Genomic DNA, 23,821 nt, shown 5'->3' with positions numbered 1-23,821 from the left:
GAGTATGGGCGCCCAACACCATGCCCAGCTAATTTTTTTTTTTTCTGTATTTTCAGTAGAGACGGGGTTTCACCTTGTTAGATAGGATGGTCTTGATCTCCTGACCTCGTGATCCGCTCACCTCAGCCTCCCAAAGTGCTGGGATTACAGGCGTGAGCCACCATGCCCGGCCTGTTCTAACGATACTGTATTTCAGGGTGGTCTAACAGCTCCAGGTGATAAGGAAAATCTCTTCTTTACAGAAGAATAACAGCTAATAAATGAAAACAGTATGAGAGAATTGTGAAACCACCAATTTGCAACAACTAATGAATTAACTGATTCAGGCCAGGATCACCAATGGATAACAGAGGGTTAACTGGCCGTTCATATACATGGTGCCAAAGAACTAGCCACAGATTTCTTGTCAGTCTCAAGCATAAGAAACTTTATAAAAGAAGACTCAAGCTGTCACCAGCTGTAGGGTAAATGCACCTGACAGCGATAACTTGAACCTACCCTCAGAAGGACCCTGTATGGCAGATGCACCTGAGTGTGTGCTCTGAGCTGGGGAATCAGGTGTGGCCAACCCAGAGATTCGTTCCTTGTCTATGAGGAACATTTGAGCCCCTGGAACATCCTATGGAACACGGGCCATACAGGGCATTGAGGCCCTGAGTTTTGGGGTAAATGAAGGTTGCTGGGTAGGGGTCATTAAGAGGAGGGTGTTAAGTAGAAATGCTAAATAAACTGCATAAAGTTGGCAAGAAGTTGCAGCTTTCCTGCCCAGCCCACTGCCACAAGACTGCAGGAAGGCCGATATGTTATCCAGCCCGCCATCTCTGGGCCATTTCTTTTCTTTTTTTTTTTTTTTGAGTCGGAGTCTTGCTCTGTCGCCCAGGCTGGAGTGCAGTGGCACGATCTTGGCTCACTGCAACCTCTGCCTCCCGGGTTCAAGCAATTCTCCTGCCTCAGCCTCCCGAGTAGCTGGGATTACAGGCACCCACCACCACGCCTGGCTAATTTTTGTATTTTTGCAGAGATGGGGTTTCACCACGGTGGCCAGCCTGGCCTCGAACTCCTGACCTCAGGTGATCTGCCCGCCTCGGCCTCGCAAATTGCTGGGATTATAGGCGTGAGCCACCACGCCCAGCCCATCACTGGACCATCTCTGTACATAAGGCGGTTCTCTGGTCCAATCCACCACCATCCGTCTCCCCTGTATGCAGGCCCCTAATAAAATCCCAAGTCTTGGCCAGGCGCAGTGCCTCACGCCTGTAATCCCAGCACTCTGGGAGGCCGAGGCAGGCGGATCACAAGGTCAAGAGATCGAATCGAGACCATCCTGGCTAACACGGTGAAAACCTGTCTCTACTAAAAATTACAAAAAAATTAGCTGGGCAGGGTGGCACGTGCCTGTAGTCCCAGCTGCTCAGGAGGCTGAGACAGGAAAATTGCTTGAACCCAGGTGGCGGAGACTGCAGTGAGCTAAGATGGCGCCACTGCATGCCAGCCTGGGCGACAGAACAAGATTCCATCTCAAAAAAAAAAAAAAAAAAAATCCCAATTCTTGTTTCCTGGCTCTGGGTCTCTTCTTCAGCCTTGAACCTGGTGCTTTCCCCTTTTGAGGTTAACAGAAGTTCAGCACAGCATCTTATTAATAAATGGTAACTAGTCAGATCAGTTGCTAATGAGACAACCACGTATTACATGTGAATTGTGACATGCTGCAATAGAATGCATACACCACCGCTTATGAAGTATTCTTGCCAAGAACTTTTAGTCTGAATCTAAACATGCTTTGGTGGGTTGGATTTAATCATTCAGCAAATACCCCTTCCTCCTCCATGGGACAAGCACACTGCCCACTCCATTGATACTCGACAGTGGAATGGGAACCGTCCACCTGCAAGCCCCAAGGCTATACCTCAGGCCATCTCCTGCTTCCATCCGCTCCTCCTGTGTTCCTCTGACTCACCATGGGCAACACGAGCCCCATGCAGCCCCTACCCTCTAGTTTGGGTCTCAGAATAAACATGTCAGGCAGAGCTACCCCAGCAGACCTGCAACCTGAACAAACCTGCCCTTTTGCTGACCCTGCCTACAAACAGGAAGAAAAATTCTCGTCCTATGAGATTCTGCTGTTGTTTCACAGCAAAAACACACAAGCCTTTGGACTGAAATTCCCATTTACAAGAAGCGCAAGAGCTAGAGAGAAAAGTTAAATGCTAGCCCAGAAAGCAATCAGACGAACGCTGAAGATGGGATTTGATGCAGGACAGCTGGTCCACGTGAGTCTCTGCAATAGAGAGGTGTAATGGAACAAAAAGGAAGAGGGTGCATTCCAGTTAGAGAAGGAGTGGAGACATCAGGGCCCACAGTGCTGTCTCCGCAGTGACCAGGCCCTGGTAAAGAAACCAGCTGTAGAGGACATTCTGGTAACAACTGGAGAGTGTTTACCATAGACTGGGTATTAAATGTTATCAATGAATTACTGTGAATGCTGTTACTATGATAATGGTCTCGTGGAAATGTAGGAAGATGTGCTTATTTTTAAAGTGCACGCTGAACTTATATGGCCAAATAATGATGGCTACAACTTTTAAAACTTCAGCAAAAAAGGCCGGGCACAGTGGCTTGTGCCTATAATTCTAGCACTTTGGGAGGCTGAGGTGGGTGGGTCACTTGAGGTCAGCAGTTCGAGACCAGCCTGGCTAACATGGTGAAACCCCGTCTCTACTAAAAATACAAAAATTAGCCAGGCATGGTGGCATGCACCTGTAATCCCAGCTACTCAGGAGGCTGAGGCAGAAGAATCGCTTGAACTTGGGAGGTGGAGGTTGCAGTGAGCCGAGATCATGCCACTGTACTCCAGCCTGGGCAACAGAGCGAGACTGTATCTCAAAAAAAAAAAAAAAATCGACAAAAAGGAAAGAAGTAGCAAATATAATAAAATGCTAACAACAAATCTAAGCAAATATGGCAATGGATATGTTGTGTTTATTATACTTTTTTCTCTTTTATTGTGAATTAGAAAATGTTTACTTCCATGAAAAAGGTATAAAATGGGGCCAAGTGTGGTGGCTCATGCCTATAATCCCAGCACTTTGGGAGGCTGAGGCAGGTGGATCACTTGAGGTCAGGAGTTCAAGACCAGCCTGGCCAACATGGCAAAACTCCATCTCTACTAAAAATACAAAAATTAGTCAAGCATGGGGGCGGACGCCTGTATTCACAGTTACTCGGGAGGCTGAGGCAGGAGAATCGCTTGAACCTCGGAGACAGAGGTTGCAGTGAGCCAAGATCGCGCCACTACACTCCAGCCTAGGCAACAGAGCAAGACTCTGTCTCAAAAAAAAAAAAAAAAAAAAAAAAAAAAAAAAGGAAAAAGGTATAATGGCCATCAAATTCGACAACCCATTCCTGATTTAAAATAAACCTTAAAAGGTAGACCAAGAAGCAAACTCCCTTAACTTGATAAAGGATATTTATCAGCCAAGTGCAGCAAAACATCTCATTTTATAGTGACGCCATAAAAGTATCCCCTGTAAATTTAGGGACAAGATTAGGAAGGCTGCTATCACTGTCACCTTTCAGTCTGGGGCTGGTTACCCTACCTAGAAGTACAAACACAAAGAGACATCTCAAGAGGTGTACAGTTTGAGAAGGAAGAGGGGAAGAAGGAGGCATTTTTTTCAGACAATATTCCTGTCTTTATAGAAAACCAAGAGAATCAACGGACGAATTATTAGGACTAAGAAAAAGGTTTAGCAAGGTGGCCAGGTATGAGTTTAACACATAAATCAATGGCTCTCCTAAGCACCAGCAACAACCAAATAGAAAATGTAATAATAAAAAATATTTCATACACAATAGCAACAAAACTATAAAGCATATAGGGAAAGAACATAACAAAAGTGTACAAAACTTTCAAGAAAAAAATACACTACATTCCCAGATAAAAACAAATAATACTGCATTTTAATATAGTAAATATTTCAATTTTAAGTATTTTAATTTGGTCCAAATCAACTTAGAAAGTCAGTGCAATTCCAAAAGAACCTCCAATGAGAATAATAAAATTCAGATGGCAGAGGAAACAATTGCAGAAACACTCTAGAAGAACAATGAAGGATATAAAACCATAGAATTTTTTATTCCACGAGAGTATACAAATAGACCAGCAGAAGACAGTCCAGAACAACTCATCATCTATAATGATTTACCATATGATAAAGGTAACATGTCAAATCAGCTGGTGGGGGGAATGGGTTATAAACTTTGCAACTCATTTTTTAAAAGCTATATATATATCCCTGAGTTACGCTATTCACAAAAATAAATTTCAAGGGGACTAAAGACTTATTGTAAAATAGGTGACTCTAAAATGTTAGATACTCAGTATAAGGAAGCCCTTCTTAAATAAGACAATAAAAAATCATCAAGGAAAAGACCAATCGGGGAAATGCAAAACACACTATTACCTGTAAGAATGGCTAGTATCAAAAGGATGAAAGATAAGAAGCGTTGGTGAGAATGTGCAGAAAAGAAAATCCTTGTGCACTGTTGATAGGAATACAAATTGGTATCACTATTATGGAAAATAGTATGGAGGTTCCTCAAAAAATTAAAAATAGAACTTCCGAATGATCCAGCAATCCTACTGCTGGGCATACATCCAAAGGAACTGAAATCGGTATTTCAGAGAGAAGTCTGCACTCCCACGCTCACTGCGGCATTATTCACAATACCCAAGATATGTGAATAATCTAAATGTCCTTTGAGGGATGAACAGATAAAGAAAACATGGTATACACTTACAATGGAGTGTTATTCGGCTTTTAAAAAGAAGGAAATCCTGCCATGTACAGCCACACGGATGAAACTGGAGGACATTAAGTGAAATAGGCCAGGCACAGAAAGATAAATACCGCATGATCTCACTTATATTCAGAATCTTAAAAAGTCAACTCATAGAAGCAGAGAGTAGAATGGGGGTTTCCAGGAGCTGGGGGTAGGGGAAGTGGAAAGATGCTGGGCCGAGGGTACACGGTATCAGCTGTCCGAGCTGAGTAAGTTCTGGAGATTTACTATAAAGCACAGTGCCTACAGCTAACAACACTGTATTGTACAGTTAAAAATCTGCTGAGAAGGTGGATCTTCTGTTGAGTTTCTCATCACAAATCATCATCATCGTAATAAAGTAGGCAGGAGGAAACGTGAGCAGGTGATGGATCTGTTTACGGCACACGCTGTGGCAATGGTTTCATGGGGGTTGGCTTCGCTCTAAACTCACAAAGTTGTACATTAAATATGTACAGCTTTTTGGAGTGCAGTGGCATGATCTTGGCTCACTGCAACCTGTGGCTCCTGGGTTCAAGTGATTCTCCTGCCTCAGCCTCCCGAGTAGCTGGCACTACAGGCGCGCGCCACCATGCCCAGCTAATTTTTGTATTTTTAGTAGAGACGGGGTTTCACCATGTTGGCCAGGCTGGTCTCAACTCCTGACCTCAGGTGATCCGCCCGCCTTGGCTTCCCAAAGTGCTGGGATTACAGGCATGAGCCACTGTGCCTGGCCCCCATCCTCTTTTTTTTATTTTTTAAATCTCTTCTCCCACCATAAAATTAATTCCTTTCATATTTTTTGGTCAGTCAGAATTGGGAAAGTCCCACACTCTCCTATTCTCCTATTACCTTAACATCCCAAGCTTCCTTTCCTTTTTGGTCTTTATGAATATATTTATATGGAAAGAATTAAGATAAACAAAACGGATTTCCCCATTCTCTCACTTCCCCATCTTGTCTTCCTAGACCCCACAGAGTTAAAACTTGGGACTCTCCCGACCCCCCAGAACGCTTATATATTGTCTGAGGTTCGTGCCGCAGTAACAGACACAGTATTGAATTGCACATACAAATGTTTGCTGGGTATATTCACTGTAAATTTTATTTAATCTGGTTTTTTGTTTGTTTGGGGGTTATTTGGGAGGAGGTCGTTTTGTCTTTTGTTTTTTGAGATGGAGTCTCACTCTTGTTGCCCAGGCTGGAGTGCAATGGCATGATCTCAGCTCATTGCAACCTCTGCCTCCCGGGTTCAAGCAATTCTCCTGCCCCAGCCTCCCGAGTAGCTGGGATTACAGGTACATGCCACCACACCCAGCTAATTTTTTTTTGTATTTTTAGTAGAGACCGGGTTTCACCATGTTGGTCAGGCTGGTCTCAAACTCCTGACCTCAGGTGATCCACCCCTCTCGGCCTCTCAAAGTGCTGGGATTACGGGCGTGAGCCACAGCACCCGGCCGGTTTTGTTTTTAAATATATTTTTTAAAAAAGTCACTGGAAAAAAAAAATGTGTACAGCTTTTATATGGCAATCTTACCTCAACAGACTGGTTTTTTAAAAAAGAAATAAGTTTCATAATACTAAGAAAAAGGAAAAGAATGCAAATTTACTTTCTACATTTTCTTATAATCCCTAAATAAAGTGAATTATTTAGCTACAACAATAAACAATGTTTAAACCTGGATGAGAAAAAAAAAAAACACCTAAAACAGAAGACAACAGACTGGAAGAAAATAGTCGAAGTAAATGTATCAAAGAATGAGCATCCAGGATGTATTAAACCTTTTTTTGCTTGTATACCCACACACCCAAACACTCACATGAACGTGTGACCTTCCTAGATATCAATAAGAAAAAGACGAATAACCCCATGGGAAACTGAGCAAAAATTACAAAAGGGAAATTGACCAAAGAGAAAATACATGTGCCAGTAAACACAGGCAAATATACTTGACTTCACAAATAATCCAGGAAATGAAAAAATAAAATGGAGATTTTCTCCCTATCACATCTGCAAAGTTATAATGTCGGGAACTGATGACACTGCAGGGACCAAACCACTCTGTAGCCATTTGGGAAGGGAACCTGACAGTATCTGGTAAACTGCAGAATGCAGATGACAGCCAGCACTTCTGCTTCTTGCTCTCTCCCCTAGAGAAGCATTAACCCACCAGCATCACTGTTTGTGACAGCAAACATTAGGAAACAACCTAAATGTTCATCAGTAGGAAAGTGTTCATTAAACAGTATCTAGTACTGTACACACGGTCCCTGGAAGCCTCTGCAGCAGTTAAAGCAAATGAGGCAGGTCTCTAAGATAGACCTGTGTGTACAGTCATGTGGTTCTCCACAATACCATGTTCTGAACAACTCCGGCAGCAGAACAATGCACAGATACCTTCTATGTGCATAAAAACAAAACACAGCCATCTACATCTACACATGCATAAATGCTTATATAAGATAATGAAGGAAAACACACTAACCACAGAGTGGTTCTCTAGGGAGAGGAAGGTTGTAGATGCAGCCAAGGGAGAACTCTGCTTTATCTCTGATGTCTGAATTTTCTTCCCGAATGCACTCCTGTGTTGCACAATTCTTCAGATGATTTACAAAGAAAATGCAAATAATTTCTCCCTAAATATAATATCCTTAATCAAAAATAAGTGACAATAAGTAACACACCAACAGGGAATGCAAAAGGCCACCTTCCTCCTTCGAAGAATGGCCGTGTGAGGCCCAGCCCCACAGAACAGGAGGGGGAAAGGGAGAGACACGCATAGGCAGGCAACCCCCTCCTGGGCCCTCACTCCAAGAGCACAAGTCACCAGGGGTGAGGGGCCGGCCTGCAGCATGACCTGTCCTCTGCTTACTTTTTTCCCTTTCCAGCCCTGGCCTTAGCCAGTCTGCAGGTTTAGGGGCAAACCTGATCCCTACAGCGTGGGAGAAGGTTATACCATAAACTCTGAGAGTCAATTTGCTTCCTATGCCCCAGTCTCTACTGCCTCACAACACACATCAGCCCATTTCCTCTCCTGCTTGGCAGAGATGGTCAGGATCCTCATGTCCCAGTTAAAGAAGCCAAAACTCCAAGAGAAGGTGTGGCAGGTGCAAGGTCACTGGCAGCAAGTGGGGGCCCAGGTTCCGGCCACCTCTCTCAGGTACAGAGTATCGCTCACTGGCCTCCTGGTGTTGCCCCTCCAACTACAGGTTCCTCCTCCTTATGGAGCTACCATATCCTGTCACTCCAGGACTCCACTGTTTTCTCAGAGCTTGGGAGAGGAACAGTTGGCTTCATGAGAGCCCAAGAGCCAAGTTACCTGGCCTCAAAGCTTCCCTGGCAGCTCCAGCTCCATCCCTAGCCAGGGGCTGCTCAGTGGCCACACCTGCCACCAGGTGGCCCCTCCTGGATCCTGCTCTGCACAGCTGCCCTTCCCATGCTTCCTGTCCCAGCCCTGATGACTTGTCTGGCAGAAGGACTGCTGGCCCCTCCCCGGGAAGCCAGTTCATCCTTCTTGCTCATAGGTCCCTGAAACTTCATTCACTGAAGTCTCTGTAGGGATATATAATTCCTCCCAATCTGCAATTTGCCAGAGGTACAGAAAAAGAATCATATGGATGCAATCAAAGTCTTCCAGGCACCCGGCACAGTAAAACGCAGAGTGGTTTCGCTGCACGGTAATTATACCAACTCTCCAGAGGCCCGGCACTGTCACCCAAGACTATACAACGCTCAGCCCTGCTTGCACATTAGAATTGCTGAGGAGGGAAAATCTGTATTTCTACCTACCGATCTCTATCAATATCTTTATTTATCAACCTATCAATATGCAGACCCCAATCTAACAGATCTTCATCCAATGGCCCTGAGACTGTCCCCCGGGAGAGGTAGTTTTTAATGCTTCCAGGTGATGCTAATGTGCAGCCACGTTGCAGACACTCCAGTCAATTTTCAGTGCTTCACTTCTCAATGCGAATTAACAACCACGGCTCACAGATCTGGGAGGAAGGTCTCAAACAGGAAGAAGAAAATCCAGGCAAGCAAGTACAAGGACAGCAAAGGAAAAAAGATAGTGAAGGAAACAGAAGTAATTGTCAAAAAAGAAACAAAATAACAAATTAATACCTTTAAATAAATAGAAGAAGATATTGCCGCAGAAACACAAAGATACAGTGCTACAAAATAAGAAATGACGAAAGAATAGAAAGAGCCCTCAGAGAGCCAAAGTAAGAGCAAGCATAAACATTTCAATATGGGTATTTAAAGTCGTTGAACTATCCCAGAAAACAGAACGGAAAGAAAAGAAGATGGTGCCGGGCACATTGGCGCATGCCTGTAATCCCAGCACTTTGGGAGGCCAGGGTGGACGGATCACTTGAGGTCAGGAGTTCAAGACCAGCCTGGCCAACATGGTGAAATTGCTGTCTCTACTAAAAACACAAAAATTAGCCGGGCGCAGTGGCGGGCTCCTGTAATCCCAGCTACTCTGGACGCTGAGGCAGGAGAATTGCTTGAACCTAGGAGGTGGAGGTTGCAGTGGGCAACAGAGAGAGATTCCATCTCAAAAAAAAAAAAAAAAAAAAAGAAAGAAAGAAAAGAAGATGGAAAAATATGAAAGAAAAGAGAGACTTCAAAGATAGAATGAATAGGTCAAAAATCAGATAGATGGGAATTCCAGAAAGAGAGGAAAGAGAGAAAAGAGAAAATGGAGAAATTAAAATAGAGAAAATAAGAGGAAACCTCCCAGAAGTGCGTGCAGCAAGCTCCGGGTGCATCTGGCCTTGGTTCTGACCCTCTTCCCACCACAGCCCTTCAGATGCCCCACACCAGGGAGCAAGGACCTCAAGCTGCAAAGCCTCCTATCCTCAAGCAGGCAGGTACCACTCTATGCACAAACACCCACCGAATCAGGGGTACCCGGGACCCAACCCTCCTTCCTCCAAAGCGCTGCCTGCCTGTCATCATTATTGTCTTTTCACGGACTGAACTTACACAGTTATTTTGATCAGCTTTCTTAGAAACAAAAATATAAATCACCAAATGTATTTAATAAGCATCATTTGATGAAAGGAACAGGTTAAAATCTGAAGATAAAAAAGGAAGAAAGAAGGAATAGAAAGAGACAAAATGCAGGGAGAGAGAAACGGAGACAGAGGAGCAAAGGAGAAGCAGGCAAAGAAGGAAGGGAGGGGAAAGAAAAGCCCAGACACCATCAGAGGAGACACCTGCACCCAGTAACACACTGACAGGGGGTGACACATGGACAGAAAAAAAGAGCAGCCATTTCTCTTTCCCCGCCAGGCTCACTGCCTGAGTTGCAAGGTGCACAAAATAATGACTCCCTTCTGAAAAGCCAGCCAGCTATTCCCAGTTTTCCCCTGGCTCTTGATTTCTAACCTTCCCTCCTAATAATCCAGGCCTGCACGTGTGCAGCACACTTCCAGTGTCACTTAGTCCCCACACTCCTGCAAGTCAGAGGCTGGGACTGTTGTCTCCATACTGTGAGGCCTTCCCTGACTCACCAAAGGTCCCACAGAGAACATCAGGACCAGGAAGTGAGGGGTCTTCCCATAAAAATAATAAGCGTGAATTTGTGCTTCCTTGTGACATGCATGCTCATTAAGCTCTGTTGCTTTGTCTATCAAAGGGGATAACAAAAGCTTACCTTGTTTCTGTGTTGACCAGAGGTAGATATGTTTGTTTGTCTGCTTGTTTGTTTGTTTTTTGAGACTGAGTCTCACTCTGTCTCCAGGCTGGAGTGCAGTGGCGCCATATCAGCTCACTGCAACCTTCGACTCCCTGGTTCATGTGATTCTCCTGTCTCAGCCTCCCAAGTAGCTGGGATCACAGGCATGCGCCACAATGCCCAGCTAATTTTTGTGTTTGTAGTAGAGACAGGGTTTCACCATGTTGGCCAGGATGGTCTCGATCTCTTGACCTTGTGATCCGCCCGCCTTGGCCTCCCAAAGTGCTGGGATTACAAGCGTGAGCCACCGCGCCCGGCCAACCATAAGTAGATATGTTAACCCAGTTCCTGCACATACACGCACAGTTCCTCACAATAATTCTGGGAAGTGGGGGGCCAGGGGGCAGTGGCCAAAACCAAGGCCCAGCACTGCAAGGATCTGCCCCGGGTCACATGGCTGGTGGCCAGGGTCCCTGCCTCCTGGCCCAGAGCGACTTCCTCCGAACTCCCTTCACTCTTGTCCCCCCACAAACCTGGCTCATGATCTGCTATTTGGATGCAGTTGTCACTGAGCAAGCAAGTTTCCAAACAGTGAGTGGATTTTCAAAAATCCTATTAGCATATGAGCAAGAAATCCCAAGTGCCTGACGAACACTTTATCATTTTTTAAAATGTATTCACTCAACTAACAATGATTTTTCTTCTTCCTGACTTGATAATAAGTTCTCCACTAACAATGATCTCCAGGATCTGTTTTCTAAAAGATTCTCTCCCTCTTATCATCTGCCAGCTGACCAAACTGGTGAGTGTGGCTCCTGGGGGACAGCAGGCAAACCACAGACAGGAGAGGAGCTGCCCCCTTGGGATGGGATTTACCAACTGAGACTGTCAACCCCAGGAGAGCTGGGCACATTTTTTTTGTCTCTTAACACTGGAATTTTATTCTACTACAGATGCTGTAAAGAAATAAATGAAGGACCCCAGGCACTCATTGACAGTGTGCTCACTCTGCAACTGCCCTGGACAACATCCACTCTGGAAAAGACAGCTTGATGGCTGATTCTCCAAGAGCATGCCTCTCAGCTCCAACAGCACTCAGAAACAGGTATGCTGGGCCAAGCAACGTGGATCCCATTCATTTCTCCTTATTTCCCTTGACAATCATAGCAGTCATATAAACATCAGCAAGACAGAAAGCGCTATTCTTCAGGCACAAATCCTAGAATATCAAAGGTGGCTTCAGCTCATCTGCAACACAACCTCATTAGAAACCAAAAAAAAAGTCCACATCCAACACCTACACTGTAGACTGATTTGGGCAATACAGAAATGGAGTCGCCTTCAAGGTGATTTTGAAGGAAATGGAGAAAAAGAGAGGTGACAGGAAAAAACACATGTAGATGTTTCTTAAAGACTTAAATAATGTCCAGGCCTGGTGCCATGTACCTGTAGGCCCAGCTACTCAGGAGACAGGCAGGAGGATCACTTGAGCTCAGGAGTCCAAGGCTGCAGTGAGCTATGATGGCACCACTGCACTCCAGCCTGGATAACAAAGTGAGACCCTGTCTCTTTAAAAAAAAAAAAAAAAAAACAGTCAAATGATGACTGAGTAATCTGCAGACGGGTGAGCTCAGATCTGATTCTAAAACAAGGTTTTAGAACAGCTCTGTTCAACAGAAATTTCTGCAATGATAGAAGTGTTCTATCTGCACTGCCCAATATGGCAGGTATTGAACACTTGAAACATGGTTAGTCCAATAGAGAAACTGCATTTTTTGTCTGCTTCATTTTAATTCATTTAAATTAAATTTAAATGGCAAGTAGCTGCCACTATGGACAGTGCAGTTCTAAAATGCATTTATTAAAGGATTGTTTTGGGATCACATCTAAGAAAAGTGGTAATTATTAGAGCTATAAATGAATTCGGTAAGAATAAGTTTGTGAAATTAGCCTCACTTCTTTCTCCGATATAGAATCTGCAAAGGCAGTTAAGGGAGATCTGGAAGAGAGTATACCTGGACTTTAGCAAGGCAGGATTTTGGCAGGTCCTTCCCAATGTTCTTGTGGATCATCTGAAATATGTGAGCTGCATGCAGCGAAGTGAGATGGAATAGGAGCTACCTGCATGAGCACAATAAGCAGGCATCGATTCAGGGAAAACTGTCAGTCTGTGGGGATTCTCCAATGATCTGGCTCTTTTCAACCCTGGATGATGATAAAGCACAAGGCAGCTCTTCAGAACTGTAGATGACACAAAACTGGGATGCAGACTTGAAGGGGATGTAAAAATATCAAGTCAAGTTCAGGGATGGCAGCAGTAAAGTTTAGCAAAAGCATACACAAAGATCTTACATATCCTGCTTGATTGAGAAAGGTAACGCTTTCACTGCCAAATATGCTAATGTGAATCACAAACTTCATCTCTGAAGCAATCTTCTTACACAAGTCCATTATTAACCATATAGGGAGGCTTAATTTCTTTAAGGCCTAACTAGAAATCTGCACCAGTAATTACACTGTCCCATTAGACTGAAAAGCCTGTTTTACATAGTTCACTCCAATTGCTCCTTTCATCAAGCGCTTTTATGATGAATACTGTCTTCCAAGGTCATTATTTATTTCCTTACCTTAAAGAGAGGGTGGAAGCCAATTCTTTGCTAAAGCCCTTGTGACTAAGGGCATAAATGAATGAAATGCAAAGAATGACTCATTTTCGGCCGGGGGCGGTGGCTCACGCCTGTAATCCCAGCACTTTGGGAGGCCGAGGTGGGTGGATCACGAGGTCAGGACATCAAGACCATCTTGGCTAACACGGTGAAACCCCGTCTCTACTTAAAAAATACAAAAAATTGGCCAGGCGCGGTGGCGGGCGCCTGTAGTCCCAGCTACTTGGGAGGCTGAGGCAGGAGAATGGCGTGAACCCGTGAGGCGGAGCTCGCAGCAAGCCGAGATCATGCCACTGCAGTCCGGCCTGGGCGAAAGAGCAAGACTCTGTCTCAAAAAAAAAAAAAAAAAAAAAAAAGAATGACTCATTTTCCTATATGACATAACATCTTCGTTACTCAGGATAGTTGCTGTATGGGTGCAAAGCATCAGATATTAAAATACCATGAGGCACCATCAACTATGACATAGTAGAAGAAGTAAAAAAAAATATTATGTCTGAAGAATTCCACCGCCTGCTATGATGCACTAGCTTGTGTCAGACTAATCCTCTCACCAAGAACAACTAGAAACTCTTGACGAAATTTTTTTAAATGATCTCTGTGGAAGCATCAGAGAGTCCAAGGCAGCTAGGACTTGAGGGGCTGAGATCATGACAAGTAGATAATTACCCAGAAATAAGCTCAGCATTCTGTGCTGCTTTTCTCGTCAAGGCATTTGGGGATTTGTGAGTGATGGAAGCCAAAAGGTTAAAAACACACACAGGAAGAAAGTAGTGGTTAAGAGGCAATAGGCCTAAGCAGAACTTTCAGTAGTCTCAGAGGACTGGGGAAATAAGAAATTGCAATTTATGGCTAATAAGGCAACAAGAACTTGAGGGTCCAAATTGGTAGAGTTGAAACACAGAGGGGTGAGTCCACTATCTTAGGAAAGGGCAAAAGCTGGAACTATCTGAACAACAAAATTAATAATGCAATACTGGTTTATAGCCCAAAGTATACAATGAATATCCATGAGTCCATACAAATATAAATAAATGAATGAGAAAATAAATGAGTGAGAACAGACCAATCTCCCTGTGCAGAATTGCAAATAATTTGTGTAGATACTGTTCCCTCATGGAGATGGTGCATAACACTCAGACGATTGAGGGTAACATCAGCAGTGATAAATTATGTAGCCCTGATTTGATAGGATAAGAATGGCACTTTTTCAGATGGGATCTTCTGCCCCAAAGCCCATAGCCCCTATTGAACCATGAGAAAAATGCCAAGCACACTCAAATTTAAAGATATTCTATAGAATACCTGACCACTACTCTTCAAAATTGTCAAGGTCATCAGAAACAAGGAAAGTCAGAGGAACTGTCACAGTCTAAAAGAACCTAAAGCGACATAATAACTGAACTCAAAGCAGTCTCCTAATAGAATCCTGGAACAGCAAAAGGACATTTGATAAAAACTAAGAAAATGTGAATGAAGTATGGACTTCAGTTAATAATAATGCATTGGCACTGGTTCATTAATTGTAACAAATGTACCATACTAATGTGAGATGTTAACAACAGGGAAAAGTAGGTACAGGATGTATGGGAACTCTCTACTATCTTCGCAACATCTCTGTGAATCTAAAACTATTCTAAAGCAGTAAGTTAAAAAAGAAAGTTTATATACCTATATTGGTAATTAGACAAACTAGATTTTACGAAAAGCAGCATTCTTATGGAAAAGAAAGAATTCATAATTAAAAAGGGCAACCTACTAGGAATAAATTCTAAATTTATATGTATCTAGTTAAATGCACTCAAAATTTATAAAGGGAGAATTGACAGGACTATAATAAGACAAATCTAAAGTATTAGACATTATGAAATTTATGTCTATTAGACACAGACATTATGAGCAGCTGGATAATTTAACACACTTCTTTCAGTAAATGATATAACAAAGAAGTAAAAATAAGAATGGAAATATAAGATTTGAACACCACAATTACCCATTTTTCCTCATGAATATATCGAAAGTACTGAACTGAGGAACTACACACAAGGGCACATGGGATAGTCTGTCAAAATTAATCATATGGTGGACAAGTCTAAAGCCAGTGTAAACAAATTTCAAAATGTTAACATTGTAAATAATCTGTTCCTGACTACGGGGTAAGCAAGCTAGAAATAAATAACAAAAATATAACCAGAAAATATGGAGGCATTTGGAAATCAACTACTTTAAAATAACCCACATTTCAAAGGAGAAATTTTAAAAAGTGAACAGATTTTGAACTAATTAATAATAAAAATACAACGTATCCAAAAATGGTGCTGGACAGCCAGCCATGTTCACAGCAGCACTATTCATCATGGCCAAGGAATAAAAGCAACCCAATGTCTATCGATGGATGATGGATAAACAAAATGTGGTCTATTCATACCACATAATATTATTCAGCCTTAAAAAGGGAGAAAATCTTATCACACAACCCAGCACAGATGAACCTTGAGGACACTGTACTAAGCAAAATAAGCCAGTCACAAAAAGACAGAAACTGTAGGATTCCACTTGAGGTACCTAGAGTAGTCGGAAAGTAGAATGGTGGCTCCCAGAGGCTGGGGCAAGGAGAATGAGAAGTTGCTGTTTAATGGGTATAGATGTTCAGATTCGCAAGATGAAAAAGTTCTAGAGATCTGCTTCACAACATTATGAATTTACTTAACACTACCGAACTGTACACTTAAAAATGGTTAAGATGGTAAATTTTATGCTGTGTTTTTTTACTACAATTTTTAAAAATAGTGGATTACAGCTAAAGCAGGCTTAATAGGCTATTTATAACCCTAAAATCATATATTAGAAAACAAGAATGGCTGGAAAAAATAAATATGCTGTTGTTTTCATGTTCTTAGGTATGCATAGATTTCCTAAACAGGGCACAAAAAGCATTAACCTTAAAGGAAAAGATTGATAATCTGGGCCTTCTCATCAAAAGATACCACTGAACGTGAGAAAGTGTGAGAAAATATTTGTAATATGTACATCTAGCAAAGGTCTCAGGTACTAACTATATAAAGAACTCCCGGCCGGGTGTGGTGGCTCGCACCTGTAATCCCAGCACTTTGGGAGGCCGAGTTGGGCGGATCACGAGGTCAGGAGATCGAGACTATCCTGGCTAACACGGTGAAACCCCGTCTCTACTAAAAAATACAAAAAATTAGCCGGGCTGGTGGCGGGCGCCTGTAGTCCTACCTACTTGGGAGGCTGAGGCAGGAGAAGGGCGTGAACCCACGAGGCGAAGCTTACAGTGAGCTGAGATCGCACCACTGCACTCAAGCCTGGGCGACAGAGCGAGACTCCATCTCATAAAACAAAAAAAGAACTCCTACAAAGCACTAAGAAAGAAAATGCAACAGAAAAATGAGCAAAAACTTGCACAAAAACTTCAAGAGAAGGTTTCGAAAAGCACAAGACAAGTATTCGAAAGAGATATTCAACAGTCTTCAGTGAACTGAAAATCATACCAGAGGATCCCACCATGCATCCACTAAAAATCAAATTAAAATGACTAACACCACCAGTTATGAGCAAGGATGTGGAGCAAATGAAACTCCTATTTGCAGGTGGGAGTGTAATTGGGTACAATCACGTCAGAAAAAGGACTGGCAGTGTTCACTAAAATAGAAACATACCCAGACCCTGTGACCTACCCATTCCAATCCTGGATGTACCCTCAATAGAAATGCAATCATGTGTACAACAAATGTGTAACAGTGTTCCCAGCAGCAATCATGACCCAAAACTAGAAAAGATGCAAATGTCCATCAAACATAGAATGGATGAATTATTTGTATTTTTACAATGCTCTGTAACAGTGAGTCAATGAACTACTGTCACACCACCTGTGAGTGACTCTCACAAACATAATGTTGCATAAAATAAGCTGACATAAAACAGTATATATTGTAGAAATTCATTTATTTAAAAAAAAATTCAAACATTTGCAAAAATAACATTTGGTGCTAGGATTCTGATTACCTTTAGGTGGTGGTGGTAGTGGTCGGGGGTGGGTTATGGCTGGGAGAGGACCCTAGGGGAGATTCTTGGGTTGTGGTGATGTTTTGTTTCCTAGTCTGGATGGTAGTTTCATGGATGTGTTCACTTTGAAAATATTCATGGTAATAAACACTTAGGATTTTTGTACTTTTCTGTTTATATTACACTTGAATTAAGAAGCTTATTTTAAAATAAGTGGCTTATCATTTGCACACTGTTCAATTCAAAACAGACTTCAAAAAGGTGACTGTCCAAAGCTTCCTCCCACTTTAGTCTCCATGAACAACTCCAGGTGCGCGTTCTGAGGGTGTGGATTGTTACAGTGAGGGGAGGGGGTGCAATGTGCTATGAGACTAGAAAAGGCACCATATCTTGGGCAGGGGCTCGTCTTTTTAGAGTCTTTCCTCAGATTCTGCTTTGAACCCCAAGCTCTGCCTGCTGTCATGGTACTGTAAACACTGCCCTAACTTCTGTGAGTCAGATTTTCTGATGCCTTCTCAGTAGGATACTTTGGTGCACTAGGGGATCCAAGGCTCTTGGGGAGGATCCCCATGTTAGTATCACATTCCATAGTCCAGCATCTGGGAGGAAGAGCCTGCCGGCTTCTCTCCCCTGCACATACACACCCTCTGTCCTGGTTAACTCACACTAGAGAACAGCTTCCCACCTGGCCATACTGAAAGAACAGAAACATAGTTTCAATTACCTTTGTCAGAGAGAACAGGAGAGGTGAGGGAATGGAAACCAACTCCCAGAGAATGGTGGGAAGGCAGACACTCAGGGGCACGAATGACTGTGGGTAGAATTCATATGTATGGAGTGTCCCTGTGACTGGCTCTGTGCTTTTATTTTTTTATTTGTTTTTTGTTGTTGTTCTGAGATGGGATCTCGCTCTGTTACCTAGGCTGGAATGCAGTGATATGATCACAGCTCACTGCAGCCTCGAACTTCCAGGCTCAAAGGACCCTCCCACTTCAGCCTCCTGAGTAGCTAGGACACCTAGCTAATCTGTTATTTTAATTCTATGTAGAGATGGGAGTCTCCCAGTGTTGCCCAGGCTGGTCTCGAACTCCTGGACTCAAGTGATCCTGCCATCTATGCTTTCAATAACAACATTCAGTGTGTGTTTTACTAGATATGGTGTTGAGTCCTTTCCGTTGTAAGAAAAAAAAATTGTGGTAAAATACACGTAACATAAATTTACCATTGGAAGCCTTTTTAAGAATACAGCTTAGTGACACTAAGTACATTCACACTGCTGTGCTACCATCATGACCATCCATCTCCAGAACTCTTTTCACTTTGTAAAACTGAACCTCTGTCCTAATTAAACACTAACCCCCTTCCCTCTCCTTCTAGCCCCTGGCAACCACCATTCTACTTTCTGTCTCCATGAATTTGACTATTCTGAGTACCTCATGTCAGTGGAACCACACAGGATCTGTGCTATTCTATCTGGCTTCCTTCATTTAGCATAATGACCTCAAGGTTCAAGGTTCATCCATGTTATAGCATGTGTCAGAATTTCCTTCCTTTTCAAGGCAAAATAATATTCCATTCTATGTATACACCACATTTTGTTGATCCATTCATCTGCCAATGGACTCCTGGGTTGCTTCCACCCCTTGACTATTGTGAATCATGCTGCATGAACATGAATGTACAGATATTTCCTTGAGCCCCTGCTTTTACTTCCCTTGGGCATATGCCCAGAAGTGAAACCACGCCTAGATTCCACGGCAATTCTATTTTCAATTTTTTGAGGAACTGTCATACTGTTTTCCGACGGGCTGCACCATTTACATTCCCACCTAAAGTGCACAAGGGTTCCAATTCTGCCACATCCTCACAGACACTTATTTTCTGTTTTGTTTTGTTTTGTAATAGCCGGCCTAATAGATATGAGGTGGTATCTTGTGATTTCGACTTGCAATTCTCTAACGATTTGTGATGCTGAGCATGTTTTTCTGTGTTTACTGGCCATGTGTCTATCTTCTGTGGAGAAATGTTTATTCAAGCCCTTTGTTCGTTTGTTAATCAGGTGGCTTCTTTTTATGTTAAATTCTAAGAATTCTTCACACATTCTGGCTATTAACCCTTTATCAGATGTATGAATTACAAAGATTTCCGTCCATTCCTTGGGTTGCCTTTTCACTGCTGACTGTGTCCTTTGAGGAAGTTTTTATATTAGATGAAGTCCAACTTACCTATCTTTTCCTGTTGCTGCCTGTGCCTTTGGTGTCACATCCAAGAAGTCACTACCAAATCCAATGTCATGAAGTTGTGCACCTGTTTTCTTCTGAGTTTTATGGTCTCAGCTCTTATGTTCAGGTCTTTGATCTATTTTGAGTTGATTTTTGTATTCTCTTGTGTTGTTTTTATATTGTTTTCAGTTTTTCCAACACCATTTGAAGAAACTATCCTTTCCCCACTGAATGACCTTGAAATCCTTGTCAAAAAATCATTTGCCCATATATGTCAGGGTTTACTTGGGGGCTGTCTACTCAATTCCTTTCGTCTGTATGTCTGTCTTTATGCAACTACTACATTGTTTTGATGACTACAGCTTTGTAGCTAGTTTTGAAATTAGGAAGTGTGAGATCGCCAACTTTGTCCTTCTTTTTAAGATTGCTATTACTATTCAGGGTCCCTTGAGATTGCACAAGAATTTTAGGACGAATTTTCCTATTTCTACAAAAAGCATCATTGGGATTTTGATAGGGATTGCAATGAATCTGTAGATTGCTTTGGATATGACATAGTTTGGCTATGTCCCACGCCAAATCTTGCCCTCAACTGCAATAATCCTCACGTCAAGGGTGGGGCCAGGTAGCGATAACTGTATCATGGGGGTGGTTCCCCCACACTGTTCTTGTGGTAGTGAATAAATCTCATGAGATCTGATGGTTTTATAAATGAGAGTTCCCCTGCACAAGCTCTCTTGCCTGCTGCCATGTAAAACATGACTTTGCTCTTCCTTCATCTTCAACCATGATTGTCAGGCCTCCCCAGCCATGTGGAACTGTGAGTCCATTAAACCTCTTTCCTTTGTAAATTACCCAGTCTCGAGTATGTCTGTATTAGCAGCATGAGAATGGACTAATATAGGTAGTATTGACATCTTAACAATATTGTCTTCTAATCTAAAAACATTCCATGTCTTTCCATTTACTGGTGTCTTCTTTAATTTCTCTCAGCAATGTTCGGTAGTTTTCTGTGTACAATTTTTTTGCTTCCTTGGTTAATGGAATTTTTTTCTTAACTCCCCTTCCAGATTGCTCACTGTTAGTGTATAGAAATGCAACTGATATTTGTGTGTTGATTTTGGATCCTGCAACTTTACTGAATTCATGTATTAGTTATAACAGCTTTGTGTGTTTCGTGTGAAGTCTTTAAGGCCTTCTACATATTGCATAAGACCATGACATGTGAAAAGAGAGAAAATTTCACCTCTTCCTTTCCAATTTGGATGCCTCTGATTTCTTTTTCTTGCCAAATTGTTCTGGCTAGAATTTCTAGTACTATGTTAAATAGAAGTGGTGAAAGGGGGCATCCTTGTCTTGTTTCTGATCTTAAGAGGAAAAGCCTTTGCAATTTTTCACCACTGGGTATGCTGTTGGCTGGTGGCTTTGCCTGTATGGTCTTTATTATGTTGCGGTATTAAACTCTTTCTTTTCTAACTGTCAAAGCAATATTTATTTATTTATTTATTTATTTATTTTGAGACAGAGTCTCGCTCTGTTGCCCAGGTTGGAGTGCAGTGGCATGATCTCGGCTCACTGCAACCTCTGCCTCCTGGGTTTAAGTGATTCTCCTGCCTCAGCCTCCTGAGTAGCTGGGATTACAGGGGTCTGCCACCACGACAGGCAATTTTTGTATTTTTAGTAGAGATGGGGTTGCACCATGTTGGCCAGGATGGTCTTGAACTCCTGACCTCAAGTGATCCACCTGCCTTGGCCTCCCAAAGCACTGGAATTTGCTGGCGTGAGCCACTGCACCCGGCCAGCAGTTTTTATTTAAAAAGCAGCAAGAGCAGTGACTCACGCCTGTAATCCCAGCACTTTCGGAGGCCAAGGAGGGAGGACTGCCCGAGCTCAGGAGTTTAAGACCAGTCTGGGCAACACAATGAGACCCTGTCTCTAATTAAAAATTTAAAAATTAGCTGGGTGTGGTGGTGTGTGCCTGAGGTCCCAGCTACTCGGGAGACCAAGGTGGGAGGACCGCTTGAGCCCAGGAGGTTGAGGCTGCAGTGAGCTGAGATTGCAGCACTGCACTCCACGCTAGGCAACAGACAGAGGTGCTACCTCAAAAAAACAAAAAAAAAGGCACATTATTCCCATTGTCCAGATAAGGAAATCAAGGCTTAGAGAGATCAAGCAGTCTGCTCAGGGTAACACAGAGACAGTTAAGTGGTAGAGGCAGAATTCCGATGCAAGTCTGGGTAATTCTTAAGTGCTTAATTTCGGCCCCTATCTACGCCTTTGCTATTTAAGATGTGGCCTGAGGACCAGAAGCAACTGCACCACCTGGGGGGTTGTTAGAAACACAAAATCGCAGGATCCACCAAAAACCATGGAATCAGAATCTGCATTTAAACAAGGTCCCTGGCCGGGCGTGATGGCTCACGCCTGTAACCCCAGCACTTTGAGAGCCCAAGGCGGGTGGATCACCTGAGATCAGGAGTTTGAGACCAGCCTGGCCAACATGGAGAAACGCCATCTCTACTAAAAATACAAAAATTAGTCAGGCGTGGTGGCATGTGCCTATAATCCCAGCTACTCGGGAGGCTGAGGCAGGAGAATTGCTTGAACCCAGGAGGCGGAGGGTACGGTGAGCAGAGATCGTGCCACTGCACTCCAGCCTGGGCAACAAGAGTGATTCTCCGTCTCAAAAAATAAAAATAAAATAAATGAGATCCCCAGGAGATTCCGGCGCACACTGGAGTTCGAGCAGCCGTGCGTTATGCCAGTGGTCCTCAACTTTGATGTAGGTCAGAACCACCAAGAAGGCTAATAAAGAACACAGAGGCCCAGGATGGAGGAAGCAGAATATGACCTGCATTTGTATTTTTACCAAGTTCCCCAGGTGATCCTGATAGCAAACACAGTCTGAGAACCACGGTGCTACACCAATGTGGAAATGGCCTCTAGCTTTCAGGACTGAGAGTGCCACTAGGCTAAGCTAGGGCTGGGAATAGATTTCTGACAAAATTGTCCCCAGCACTGATTGTCTCTGGGGCATGGAGTGCAAAGAGGCAAAGAGCCCTCTGTCACAGGAAGGGGGCAACCAGGGGTAAGACCTTCACTTCCAAGACTGAGATCAGGAAGGAAGTCTGCTCAGAAGCCACATGGGGTCTCTCCAACCCTGAAAGGCCAGATTCTATCTAGAACTTGGCTTTTAGAAGGGATCCTAGACATATCCCAAGTCTCTAAGACAAAAGCCTGGGCCTCAGTCTCCCTCCAGCATCCCTGAGAGCAGGTGTGGAGCATGCTACAGCCACCAGCCCACTGTGACCCTGAGGTTAGTGGGAGACAGGAAGTGACAATGCTGCCACCCCACACATCTGCAGCACCAGCTTTTGGTCCTGGAGCCCCCACGTGTTATCAAGAGTGTGGTCTTTTTGAGGTACTGACTTGGCTAGGCAATCAGCCACTCTTCCAGACGTTGCTGTGAAAGTCTTCTGTCCATGTCATTAAAGTCCATAATGAGTTGACTTTTAGAAAGGAGATCATCCCAGACAATCTGTCTGGGTCTGGATCAATTTGTCAGGAGACCTTAAAAGTAGAGCCAAGGCTTCCTTCAGGAAGAAGAAATTCTGCCTGTGGACTGCAGCTGCAGCCATGCCTGGGAGTTCCAGCCTGCCCTTCCCCATGGCCTGCCCTGCGGGCTTCAGGCTTGCCTGGCCAGGTCCCAAAACCACGTGTGCAGATTCCTCACAATGTATCTCCTCATATCCATCCCTTACTGCTTCTCTGGCTCAACCTGACTAATAGACCAAGCCTTTCTCCTATCCATCCCCTACTGTTTCAGTGCACCACTGAAACTATTCCACCTCCATAGAGACTCCGCAGGTTGATGTCCTATCAGCCAGCTATGAGACCTGGAGCTAGTGGCTTAACTACTCTGAGCCTCTTTCCTCAAACAGCAAGAGTCTAGACTAATTGATGCACAGAAGGAACCCTCATGGTGGAAAAACATTCAGCACCTGCATTAGCTTTTGAAGCGCTATCTCCAGTAGCAGCAGATGTTCTTTGGAGGGTAGATTTGACTCATCTTAAGTAGATTGTGAAGCGAGTTTCTGAAGACAACCTTCATGCCATGAAAACGCTAGCCTGGTCATCTCTCTGTAGAGACTCTATGAGGAGCCTCTGGTGCACGGGCCTCCACCCCATGCCGCACCCTCCAAGGTCAACTATGGAAAGCACATATCCCTTCCTGTCAGCCCTCCAACAAAGACCTGCCAGGGCTTCTCCCAAGCCATCTACACAGGTCAAGCTGGCCTCTGCCACCTCTTCTACCTCACCCCCTAGCTCCTCCATCAAGCCAGATCAAACAATTCCATTCCCAGACCAGCCACGCTGCTTCCTCTGTCCACGCTTCAGT

General features: G+C 43.5%; 1 protein-coding gene across 36 annotated transcripts in view, besides 2 other annotated features; it reads right to left on the bottom strand.

Annotated features, from left to right (window-relative positions):
- Positions 1-23,821, bottom strand: part of APBA2 (amyloid beta precursor protein binding family A member 2) — a 232,342-nt gene that overhangs the window by 91,512 nt on the left and 117,009 nt on the right. For 5 of the 36 annotated variants that reach the window (XM_011521489.3, XM_047432416.1, XM_011521490.3 and 2 more), the window contains one exon: positions 12,524-12,713. The exons of the other annotated variants lie outside the window; for them this stretch is intronic. The gene's annotated coding sequence lies outside the window, so the exon portion shown is untranslated. The remainder of the gene's footprint in view (positions 1-12,523; positions 12,714-23,821) is intronic. 36 annotated transcript variants of the gene reach the window in all.
- Positions 10,988-11,194: a silencer, noted in NCBI's record as "fragment chr15:29307813-29308019 (GRCh37/hg19 assembly coordinates)". NCBI's record gives its function as "represses an EF-1alpha promoter that drives an FKBP-Casp9 reporter gene in an ReSE screen in K562 erythroleukemia cells {active_cell/tissue: K562}" and the evidence as "EXISTENCE:reporter gene assay evidence [ECO:0000049][PMID:32094911]".
- Positions 13,671-13,871: a silencer, noted in NCBI's record as "peak2281 fragment used in MPRA reporter construct". NCBI's record gives its function as "represses an SCP1 promoter by STARR-seq MPRAs in K562 erythroleukemia cells {active_cell/tissue: K562}" and the evidence as "EXISTENCE:reporter gene assay evidence [ECO:0000049][PMID:32103011]".

The sequence above is a fragment of the Homo sapiens genome, chromosome 15, assembly GCF_000001405.40.
Source record: "Homo sapiens chromosome 15, GRCh38.p14 Primary Assembly".
Lineage (NCBI taxonomy): Eukaryota > Metazoa > Chordata > Mammalia > Primates > Hominidae > Homo > Homo sapiens.
Note: the sequence above shows the minus strand (reverse complement) of the source record. Positions and strands in the feature narration are given on the sequence as shown.